General features: G+C 45.8%; 3 annotated features.

The window, feature by feature from the left end:
• Positions 8,870–9,651: an enhancer, noted in NCBI's record as "NANOG-H3K27ac hESC enhancer chr3:142792635-142793416 (GRCh37/hg19 assembly coordinates)". NCBI's record gives its function as "activates a minimal SCP1, AML or CMV promoter by ChIP-STARR-seq in naive H9 embryonic stem cells {active_cell/tissue: H9 hESC(naive)}" and the evidence as "EXISTENCE:reporter gene assay evidence [ECO:0000049][PMID:30033119]".
• Positions 10,434–11,216: an enhancer, noted in NCBI's record as "NANOG-H3K27ac hESC enhancer chr3:142791070-142791852 (GRCh37/hg19 assembly coordinates)". NCBI's record gives its function as "activates a minimal SCP1, AML or CMV promoter by ChIP-STARR-seq in naive and primed H9 embryonic stem cells {active_cell/tissue: H9 hESC(naive and primed)}" and the evidence as "EXISTENCE:reporter gene assay evidence [ECO:0000049][PMID:30033119]".
• Positions 10,871–11,069: a silencer, noted in NCBI's record as "fragment chr3:142791217-142791415 (GRCh37/hg19 assembly coordinates)". NCBI's record gives its function as "represses an EF-1alpha promoter that drives an FKBP-Casp9 reporter gene in an ReSE screen in phorbol 12-myristate 13-acetate-treated (for megakaryocytic differentiation) K562 erythroleukemia cells {active_cell/tissue: K562(+PMA)}" and the evidence as "EXISTENCE:reporter gene assay evidence [ECO:0000049][PMID:32094911]".

Below are 11,448 nucleotides of genomic sequence, written 5' to 3'. Positions count from 1 at the left end.
TAGCACGGACATGGTTCTGGGGTCTTGATATAGACAGAACAATGTCTGTGCTAAAGAAGCCACTGGGTATTGTGGGGTTTGCATCCACTGTGCCCTGGAAGGATGGGCAGCTGGCTCAGGGACCAGAGCCAAGTAGATGGGGGAGAGTTCTAGCCTGAAGCCACAGGGTCAGACCTTTCTCATTCCCTGACTTGGCAAAGTACCCAGGAGACCTCCAGGTTAGTGTATGGTGCGGGGTGGTGAGGGGTGACAGGGAAAGAGCCTGCCTAAACGTGCTGGGGGCTCCTCCACCTTGTCTGTGACCTGAGCTGAGGAGCTGAGAGGTTGACAAATGGAAGAAACGTCAGAGAGAAGCCTGAGGGCTCCCTCCTGATGGCCTGAGCTTCAGATGAGAGGCTGCAGAATTGGGATGATGCTCCACAGCCATCCCCTTGTTGAGGGCAGGATGGCCTCTAAAGCCTCACACCTGCCATAACCACCACAAGGGCCGCTCAGCCAGCGAAGCCAGACAGGCCTGAGGTGGGGGAAGGGGGGTGGTTAGGGGACACTCAATGATAAGGGAAGGAAATGGGGAAGGAAGAAGGGAAAACGGAGAAAGAAAAGAAACCCCGGGAGGGCTCTGGAAGCGCCCCTCCTCCCCTGGACCTTGGTTGATCTGCTTTATGCCTGCCAGCCAAGGAGGAGGAGGATGAAGGGTCATCTGTGAGGCTCAGGGCAGCCATCCGTTTCTCTCCAGTCCATGCCTGGTCCCTCTCTCTGGGCCATGGCAGGAGGTTTCCCCCCAGCTCTGACCTCCCCAACCACTCATCTCTCACCGTGTCCCACGATGGTAGAAGGAACTCCTCAAAACTCAGATCTAGCGCTCGCTCTCTTACAAAAATGTGACGTCCTCATGGCCTCTGCAAGCTATTTGCACAGCACATTTGAGACTGTTTCTCCCCCATAGCCAGGGACACCTGTACTATCACGTAGCGTTTTCCTTTTAAATGACTCACTTTTCGACTTAAATAAATGTATTGAAGTCATTCTAAGCAATAATACCCATGACATTGTGGGTTTGATGTGCTGTTTATAGTTTTTCGCAATGTGCATTAAAATAATTACATAACTGAAAAATGTAAATGTTCCTTGTGTGCCACCTAAAACCATCCCACTGACTGTATTTCACTCTGAAACCGTATTGAAAGCATACCAGTCAGAACACTTGGGTTGCAAGAAACAGGAACTGAGTCTCTGATTATCGTAAGTAAAAAAAGATGTTATAGGAGGCTGAGGGGGGCAGGGAGAGGCTGGTAGTCTCACAGGAGAGGGAAGAAGGAAGAAGGTCCAAGCTCACAAAGGACAGGGTCAGTAGGTCTAGCCAGGGGTGGGGGGCCTCAGAGACTGGACTCCAGCCCACCGAGGTGCAGAAACTGGATGAATGACAGCTGGGCGTTTTCTGTCTCTACATCACTCTGCGATTCAAATTCCAGCGAGGGAATTCCCATCAGCCTGCTTGGATCCCGTGCCCACCCCTTGGGTGCGATTATGGAATGGATACTGCACAATCAAAAAACTGCTGTTCACCACGAGAGGACTCTTGTTTCCTCTTTACTGAAAATGGCCTCTGTAACAATGTTCATGGGTAGGATAGTTCACAACTTCACATGTAAGGTGGAAATAATTTTGTGTCTTGGGCAGATTTGGTTTTTTTGGGGGGATTTTTATGTTCATTTATTTAATGTTGGAGCTTTTTAGAAGGAAGGGTGAGCAATAGAGGAAATTAATAGCATTATAATTGTCTAGCTTTTAAAAGCAAATTCAATTTAAATACATGAGAAATGCTGTCATCATCACAATCTACTGATTACCTGAACTCCAAAAATATCCCTCTGGCTCACATTCTAAGACCAGTTGGACTCCTCCTGGTTTGACTCAAAAGCTCAGAACCAAATTTTGGCCCACTGATGTTAAGTGTGTGGTTTTTAGCCTTATTCCAATTTTATGTATCCATACTTGTTTTTTATTTTTTGCATCACTACTTCCGAAACTCTACCCACTTTCTCTTATGCAATGTTTCCTGCTTTTGGAATTTTGATTAAATATGATACAAAACAAGTTGGGCAATGTAGTGATGATGATGATGGTGGTAAAGATGATAATTTGCATGCACGGACCCAATAGGATGAAATGGGTCAGCTTTGGTCAAAGCTCCATTGGAGTCAATAGGTGTCAAGTACTCCCACATTTCACAGGTTGGTACAGATCCCTCACACAAGACTTGCAAAAGAAGAGATCAGGAATTTCAATCAGCCCAATACCACCTTGAGGGTATTAAAGAGCTGACGTTGAGGAATGCTAGTGTTGAGATGTGTATGTTTTCCTCTCCCTCCTTCTATGGGGAGAAGTGGGAGAAGAGAGCACTTGTAGGGGGTTGAGGGGCAAGAGGAGAAAATATGTGGCATTTTTTGTTTTTATTTTGAGACAGGGTCTTACTCTGTCACCCAGGGTGGAGTGCAGTGGTACGATCTTGGCTCACTGCAGTCTTGACCTCCTGGGCTCAAGTAATCCTTCTTCCTCAGCCTCCCAAGTAGCTGGAACTAGAGGCACATACCACCATGCCTGGCTAATTTTTTAAATTTTTTTGTAGACAAGGGGTCGCACTAGGCTGCCCAGGCTGATCTCAAACTCCTAAGCTCAAGTGATCCTCCAGCCTCAGCCTCCCAAAGTGAAAAATGTGGAGTTTTTTGTTTGTTTGTTTGTTTGTTTGTTTTTATGAGTCCTCAGGATTCCTACTCTTTCAATACAACAGTTCCACAAACTCACATCTTAATAAACAGATCTTAATGATCACAGAAACCAATTCTTCACACAACACTGGTCACTGGGTTCGCAGATGCAAGTCTACATGATTTCCACAAGAAAGCCTATCACTGAACTAATGGAAGCATTTACTTGAGAGCGGACCATAGAATCGTTCTAACTTTAGCAAATTCTACTCCAGCCAGAAGCCTGGACTTCCCCTAGGCGTCTTTGGATTTTGTTGTCTTGATCTGCAAGCTTTCCAAGTTTTCCCTTGTTTCGCATTTGGCTAACACTGGTCTTTTGAGGCTCTAAGGACTAGACAGCTGCTTCCCCTTTCTCATAAAATGTGCTGACAGAGGCCACTGCCCAGTGGCTGTCAGGTAGATGTGGAGTTTGAATAGGGAATGGATAAGGAAGAAAACAGAATATAGAATGGTGGTGGGCCCAGGCAGCAGGGAAATCCAACATGTGAACATTAGAAAAGTGTGAAATATCTTGACTAGATTATCAAGCCAGAAATCAAGTGGTGAGGTCCTTGCCTGTCTTCTTTATAGGCAGGGAGGTTAAACAGCCCTGCTCCTCTGTGAAATGTGGTAGCTAAATGCAGCGCTCTCATGGGGAACCAACCCACTTTACCTAATTGCTAAACACTTCAAGATTGGGTCTTTATACATCTCCTTAATGATAGGTTGTAATGAATGTTCAATACATTTTAACTGATGTGGTGGGAAAAACGGGATTGTGCAATTTAAAGCAAGTGGTACGAAACTCTACCGGATCAATGTACTCTCAGTTAAATGTTTTTATTATAATTACAGAAAAACTAACAGATTAAAATAATTGATTCAAAATAAGAAACTGTTTCTTAGTTTCCTGAGGTTATGGCTTTTAGAACGTTATCTTTTCTGAAAATCAAAACACAGCAAATGAGATTTTTTTTCTTCCATTGTTTAATTATTTTTCCTTCACCTCTGGGATTGTGCCTGACAGTTAGAAAATGAGAGATCAAGGCATCCTAGGGCTCCTTATTAATTCTACACACCAAAATTTTCCAAATAACCCTGTGTAACATACAACTGACCATAAATATTTTAGTCTGAGAAATGTATATAATGTTAAATTTATGGCTTGGGGATAAGCTGGCTTTCCACTCCTTATGCTTTTGTTTCCCAGAAATTCCTAAAGACAGATGTTACAGAAGAATTTTTTAGAAAGAAATTTTTGTTAATAAGTTATCAACCCAAGAAAGAAATGGGCAAAAGATTTGAGCATACATCAGTAACCAAATCAGTTTCCCATATTTGGAAATTTCCCCAATAGGAGAGCAGAGTCCATATCCCACTGGAGATGCCAAAGAGGAGCCAACACTGCATTCCTGGGCTCCTCTGCACCCAGGCCCAGCCTGTGCCCTCCGTCTGGCTAGTCAGCCATGCAGGGACAGGAGCAGACGAGAATCTGATCTGAGAGTGGCAGCAGTGGCAGTTGAGCGTCCATGCTGCAGTGCCTCTGCTTCCACCATTCTCCAAGCCTGGCTCTCCTGCCTTCCTAGCAATTCCCAGATCTGCCCAGCAATTCTCTTTCTCTCAGTCATCATGAGTCAGTTTCTGTTGCATGCAACGAAGAACCCTGATTTGGACAGCACTAAACTGTGATTCACACAGTGGAGAGAGACTGTGCTTAGATAAGATGCCAGGCCTAGAATGTGCCTCAGTTTCCCAACTAAAATATGGAGCTGCTAACACTAGCTCTATTTCACTGAATTCTTGAAAGAAAAAAAAAACCTGTAAAAATGCAAAATCCTTTGGAATTGTTAAGTGACATGGACAAAACAAGGGTGTGTACACGTTTTTGAACCAGCTTATTTTACTAAAAGAAATGCAAATTTCAAAGCCAGAGAAGAAAAAAAAAACAGATTCCATGCAGAAATGCTATTCCATGTCCATGTTCCAGTTTCTCCATGCAGTAGGTGGGAATTCAGCCTACACAACAGCCTGCTTGAATTTCTCTGCTCCTGGGAGCCACCTGGGAGCAGAAAAGAGTTTATTCACAAACCCAACAATGCCATCTAAAGTTTTGAAAAGCATTCCACTTAGCCATAATTACACCTGTGTGTCACAACTTCTGTGAGCTTCCCTGCCCTGTATTGAAGCCACTGAGATAAATACAGGGCCCAGGTCTCAAGAATTCATCCGTGCAAGTTGTTTTCTTCTCACCACCTGCAACCACCAATCACAGCATCTGAGGTAGAGGTGAGGGACATGGTGATCATGTCACAAAGAATGATCTCAGAAGGAGGAAAAGCAGCAGACACAAGGAAACCCAACATCAGAGGCCCGTTCTTGAAAGAAAAGGTCACGTAAAAGGGAAAATTTTAAAAAGAAATAAATGCAGTGTATCTGGAGAATAATCTTTTATTATGACTGTTTTTTTTTGTTTTGTTTTATTTTGTTTGAGATGGAGTCTTGCTCTGTCGCCCAGGCTGGAGTGCAGTGGCGTGATCTTGGCTCACTGCAAGCTCCGCCTTCCGGGTTCACGCCATTCTCCTGACTCAGCCTCCCGAGTAGCTGGGACTACAGGCGCCCGCCACCATGCCTGGCTAATTTATTATGACTCTCTTTTTAAGGCTGGGCAACATACTGAGACTCTATTTCTACCAAAAAAAAAAAACTTTTCCAATTAGCCAGGCATCATGACACACACCTGCAGTCCCAGTTACTTGGGAGGCTGAGGAGGGAGATCGCTTGAGCCCAGGAGGACAAGACTGCAGTGAGCCATGATTGCACCACTGTACTCCAGCCTGCGTGGCAGATTGAGACTCTGTCTTAAAAAAAAAAAAAAAAAAAGACTTTCTTTTTAATCTTACAAGGTCCAGAAGATGCCCACAAACTTTAGAGAATATCACATACTTTCATTTGCAAATCTGTCCAACAGTATCATGTCCCCTCTCACTGCAAATGTGTTGGAGAAGATGAACAAGAGATTGCCAGTGGGCTGACACCAAGGAGAAGGAAAAGAGCCCCCAGTGGCTCTGGGGCATTTGACCCAACAAGCTGCTCTGACCAGTTAATGTTTTCCTGCTGGTGTCAATGACTTGGAAAGTCAATTCTATCCATGCAGCCTTTTCATCAGTTATGATACCCTGAGTTCATCTTCTTTTCACACCTGCAGCTTAGAGAAAATTCTGTGAATCAATCTGTCACCCACCTGCCTGCACATGTTTCCAACAGGCACAGGTGTGGCTGCAGCCAGCCAGCCTATAGAAAACCCAGAGATTCCTTTTAGGGGAAAGTGCTGCTGAGAGAATATAAAAATCTGGGCACACATAAGAGAGATCTGCAGACCTCTGTCTCCACAAACCAGGCACCTCTTACGGGGAACAGAGAGCAGGGAAAGGAAGACTGTTCTCCAACTCTGCGGGCTGAGTTTGTCCATCCTCCCACACACCTGGAGGGAGGGCCTTGGTTCAGAAAGCTCACAAAGTGCTTGTAGAATTCCAAGGAAAGAAGATAGGCAGTGAGGAAGGTCCAGCTCCGACCAATCCCCACAGCGCAGAAATGTCCAGTGAAAAATGGCTCCCCTTCAGGACTGTAACGGGCCTGTGGTGCCCCGGCTCCCAGGGTAGGGAAGTTGGGCACCCCAGGTTTGCCCTCAGCCTGCCATGCCCTTAACCCAGGGCACAGTGAAAGGCCTCCACTCAACCAGAAATGGACACTTCCTTTGCACAGTTTCTAAATGTGTGTGGCTGGGCGCGGTGGCTCACGCCTGTAATCCCAGCACTTTGGGAGGCTGGGGCGGGTGGTCAGGAGTTTGAGACTAGACTGGCCAACATGGCAAAACCTTGTCTCTACTAAAAATACAAAAAAAAAAAGTAGCTGGGCATGGTGGCACGCACCTGTAGTCCAACCTATTTGGGAGGCTGAGGCACAAGAATCGCTTGAACCCAGGCGGCAGAGGTTGCAGTGAGCCAAGATCGTTCCACTGCACTCCAGCCTGGGTGACAGAGCGAGACTCCATCTCAATTAAAAAATAAATAAATAAAAAATAAACAAAAATAAATAAATGTGTGCAACCCCCTGAGCTTCAGCCACTGCAAGTTCAAATGGCATCTGCTCTGCCTAGCTCGTGGGGAAGTGGAGGGGGATGGTGCAGACCTTGGCTCACCCCCCACACCCAGTATGGCTCTGTAATTTCTATTCTATACAGTGCATTCATAACTCATTCTACTGGGCCAAAGCACGAAGAACTAACTCTTCAGAGAGTTTCTACAATTTGCGTTAGCATTTTTCAAAATTATTCCTAGATGAGACACAACTTTATTACCATCTCTAGCTGCCCTTTAGAATTCTAATATTCTCATATTCTGTGCATCCCACGAGGCCCCTTTCCTGACAAAGATATTTACCTTAGATGTGTGTAACTTCCAGGAGTCTAAAATATGATCATAGAGCTATTAGCTAACACGGCGGCTTTTAGCTTCTTGAAAGCAGAATTCACATCATTAAAAAGTCTTTTAGAATATTCGTCTTTCCATGGCTTTTCTTTATCCCCCTATGTGGGGAGAACTTATTATAGACTATATCTTGTATCCACCAGGGGACCCACAGAAATGAGGCCTATGTGACATTTTATTAGCCCTGTAGATTACATTCATGATGGAGGGGGAGAAAAAGCAAGTTAACATTCTCAGGAGGCTTGTAATGGTCCAAAGTTTTTCCTTCAGAAGCCTTGGTCTGGGCAAGAGAAAAGTCAGACTCCTTAGTGTCTTCTCGTAGGGCTCACTTCTGCCTTGAGAGGCCAGAAGACTGTTGCTCTTCTAGAAACCAACCCTGAGAGGTCCCTCTTGGATTCAGGGTTGGTTTAGACAGTGGCTCTGAAGCTTGAGCGCCTGTCAAAATCATCCAGAGGGCTTGCTTGTTGAAACACAGATTGCTGGGCCCTGCCAGAATTTCTGGTTCTGTAGGTCTATGGGCCTGAGAATCTGCATTTCTTTTTCTTTTTTTTTTTTTTAGATGGAGTCTCACTCTGTCGCCCAGGCTAGAGTGCAGTGGCCCGATCTCAGCTCACTGCAAGCTCTGCCTCCCGGTTCATGCCATTCTCCTGCCTCAGCCTCCCTCGTAGCTGGGACTACAGGCGCCCGCCACCACACCCGGCTAATTTTTTGTATCTTTAGTAGAGACAGGGTTTCACCATGTTAGCCAGGATGGTCTCGATCTCCTGACCTCATGATCCACCCACCTCGGCCTCCCAAAGTGCTGGGATTACAGGCTTGAGCCACCGCGCCTGGCCGAGAATCTGCATTTCTAACCAGTTTCTGGGGATGCTGATGCCGCTTGTTTAGGGACCACACTCTAGAACCACTGGGGCACTGTTTTAGGATACTCTAAGGGAGCCAATATACAAAGGTTCCTACTGGCCCCCAGTCCAGCTGCTCCTTGGGTCGATGGCCCTCAGACCCCAGCTGGGTGCACTGAGCGCCTCCTCCTTAGGAGTCCAACTTTCCCAAGACTTCAAGCCAACTGCGGTCCATGCAGCTCCTCCCTCACCACAAGGACAAGTACTCACTGGCCCCGCCCCGGTTTTCCTCCAGAGACCCAGTGTAAAATGAAAACGTGGGGCCTCTCTTTAAAAAATTAAGAATTTCAATACAGTGACAGTGGAGCATTAGATCAAGCATGGCCCTTCTCCCCAGGGCTTGGCCCCTGGGCCCCTGCAATTCAGAGCAGTGAGTTCTGATTCTTTCTGGGCCCCAGCCTCCTGTCTCCCTCAGGTTTTCAAACAAGAATCCATCCTCCCTCTGCTCCAAGCCCCTCCTTGACTCTACAACTTCTGCCCCTCAAGAAAGGGGCATTGGTATGAGAGTTTTAGAGGAAATGTTAAATGGCTGTTAAAGTTGTAAAATGTTCCTACTCTTTGATGCAGCAATTTCACTCCAAGAGATTTATTCTTCAGTGGATAGATTCCCCGAGGAGCTCTCCCAGTGCTCAAAGCCTATTCACTCTTACGGTGCTTGTAATAAGAAAAAATAAAAATAACAACAGCTTAAATGTCTCTCAATAGTAATTAAAGAATGAGGCAGATTTATAGGTAATGATCAGGAAGTATACCCAAGATCTCATAAGTATCAAAGGCAAGTTGAAAACGTTGAGGCGGGTGGGCATGCGTGTATGAGTACATGAACAGAAAAACAATTCAGGAAACTTGAACAAAAAATTGTTAGCCATCGCCACTGGGAATTTTCACTTTACAGTTTATGCACTCTACATTTTAAATATTTTTTTTTTTTTTTAATTGATCATTCTTGGGTGTTTCTCTCAGAGGGGGATTTGGCAGGGTCATAGGACAATAGTGGAGGGAAGGTCAGCAGATAAACAAGTGAACAAAGGTCTCTGGTTTTCCTAGGCAGAGGACACTGCGGCCTTCCGCAGTGTTTGGGTCCCTGGGTACTTGAGATTAGGGAGTGGTGATGACTCTTAACGAGCATGCTGCCTTCAAGCATCTGTTTAACAAAGCACATCTTACACCGCCCTTAATCCATTTAACCCTGAGTTGACACAGCACATGTTTCGGAGAGCACAGGGTTGGGGGTAAGGTCATAGATCAACAGCATCCCAAGGCAGAAGAATTTTTCTTAGTACAGAACAAAATGAAGTCTCCCATGTCTACTTCTTTCTACACAGACACAGCAACAATCTGATTTCTCTATCTTTTCCCCACCTTTCCCCCTTTTCTATTCCACAAAACCACCATCGTCATCATGGCCTGTTCTCAATGAGCTGTTGGGTACACCTCCCAGACGGGGTGGTGGCCGGGCAGAGGGGCTCCTCACTTCCCAGAAGGGGCAGCCGGGCAGAGGCGCCCCTCACCTCCCGGACGGGGTGGCGGCCAGGCGGAGGCGCCCCCACCTCCCTCCCGGATGGGGCGGCTGGCCGGGCGGGGGCTGCATTTTAAACATTCTTATTACCTCATATTATTTCTGAGTATGTGTAGAATTGAAAAATACTTCAGACCTTAACCAAAGCTGTTTTCCTTCAGAAACGTGGACCACCAGTGAGGGCTGCCCTAAACCCCTGCCCTGTTCCTCCAGCCCTTTCCCTCTTACACCATCATGGTCTCATCCCTGCCATTTTCCACCCCCACTGCCGCGAAGCCTCTCACGAAGCTTGATCTAAGCCTGACTGCAGATGAATTTGTTGCATCTAAAATATGTTGTTCTCCCCAGAAATCGGTTCCTATGAAAACCTAATTTAAAAACAGAAAGGAGGAGAAACATTTATGAATCTTTTAGATCTATGATCTTTTAGATCTATTGCCTTATTAATTTTTTCACTCTGAGGTAACAGATGTATTCTTACTTTTACATTTGGACTTTGGATATGGACTGGGATGCCCACCTGACACCTCAAAGGCAAAGGGTTCCATCGGAGACTCCAAGCCTATCTTTATCTTGACTAAACAGCGGCTTAACACAGAGGCTTATTCTCCACTGAACTAGGCCCAGTGTGTATGTTCCTCAGCGGTATTTTTAAATTCTACACATACTTAATAATATAAGAGATAATAAGAATGTTAAAAATTTAGAGTGTATAAACTGTAAAGTGAAAATTTCCAGTTATGAATGACTAGCCTTTTGCTTGGTCATCCAGGGCCCCAGGCGCCCCCATTTTTTGGCTCTGCTTCCCCTCTGGGTCCTCAGCACAGAGAAAAGGAAAGACATGGAGGACAAGGGAGGTTTTGTGGGCCAGGCCTGAAAAAGAGGTCCCATTTCTCTGGCCAGACTGGGAACAGTGGTGTAGTAGACAAAATAAGGGCTCTCAAAAATGTCCATGTCCTCATCCCTATGTGAACCTGTGAGCATGTTGCCTTAAGTACCAAAGAGACTTTGCAGGAGTGATTAAGGTCAGAGTATTTGTCAGACCTCTGAGCCCAAGCTAAGCCATCATATCCCCTGTGACCTGCACGTATACATCCAGATGGCCTGAAGCAAGTGAAGAATCACAAAAGAAGTGAAAATGGCCAGTTCCTGCCTTAACTGATGACATTCCACCATTGTGATTTGTTTCTGCCCCACCTTAACTGAGCGATTAACCTTGTGAAATTCCTTCCCCTGGCTCAGAAGCTCCCTGACTGAGCACCTTGTGACCCTGGGCCCTGCCCTCCGGAGAACAACTCCCTTTGACTGTAATTTTCCACTACCTACCCAAATCCTATAAAACGGCCCCACCCCTAATCTCCCTTCGCTGACTCTTTTCGGACTCAGCCCGCCTGCACCCAGGTGATTAAAAAGCTTTATTGCTCATACAAAGTCTGTTTGGTGGTCTCTTCACACGAACGCGCGTGACAGTCTTAATATGAGATGATACTGGGTTATACAGGTGGGCAAAGAGGGCCAAACAAAACAAAACAGAACAAATCAAAAACAAGGAAACATGAAGATAGAAACAGGTTGGAGTGACTGTCCTTGAAAGCAGAAGTAGCTACACTCCAGGGAATGCAAGTGGCCTCTTGAAGGTGGAAACGGCAAAGAAAAGGATTCTCTCCTGAAGCCCCCATGAGAAAGCGGCCCTGCCAGCACTGTCAGACTTCTGACCTCCAGAACTGTAAGAAAACAAATGTATGTTGTTTCAAGCCATTAAGTTTGTGGTTGTTATAGCAGCCATAGGACAA

The sequence above is a fragment of the Homo sapiens genome, chromosome 3, assembly GCF_000001405.40.
Source record: "Homo sapiens chromosome 3, GRCh38.p14 Primary Assembly".
Taxonomy (NCBI): domain Eukaryota; kingdom Metazoa; phylum Chordata; class Mammalia; order Primates; family Hominidae; genus Homo; species Homo sapiens.
The sequence above is the reverse complement of the archived record's forward strand: the minus strand, read 5'-3'. Positions and strand labels throughout refer to the sequence as shown.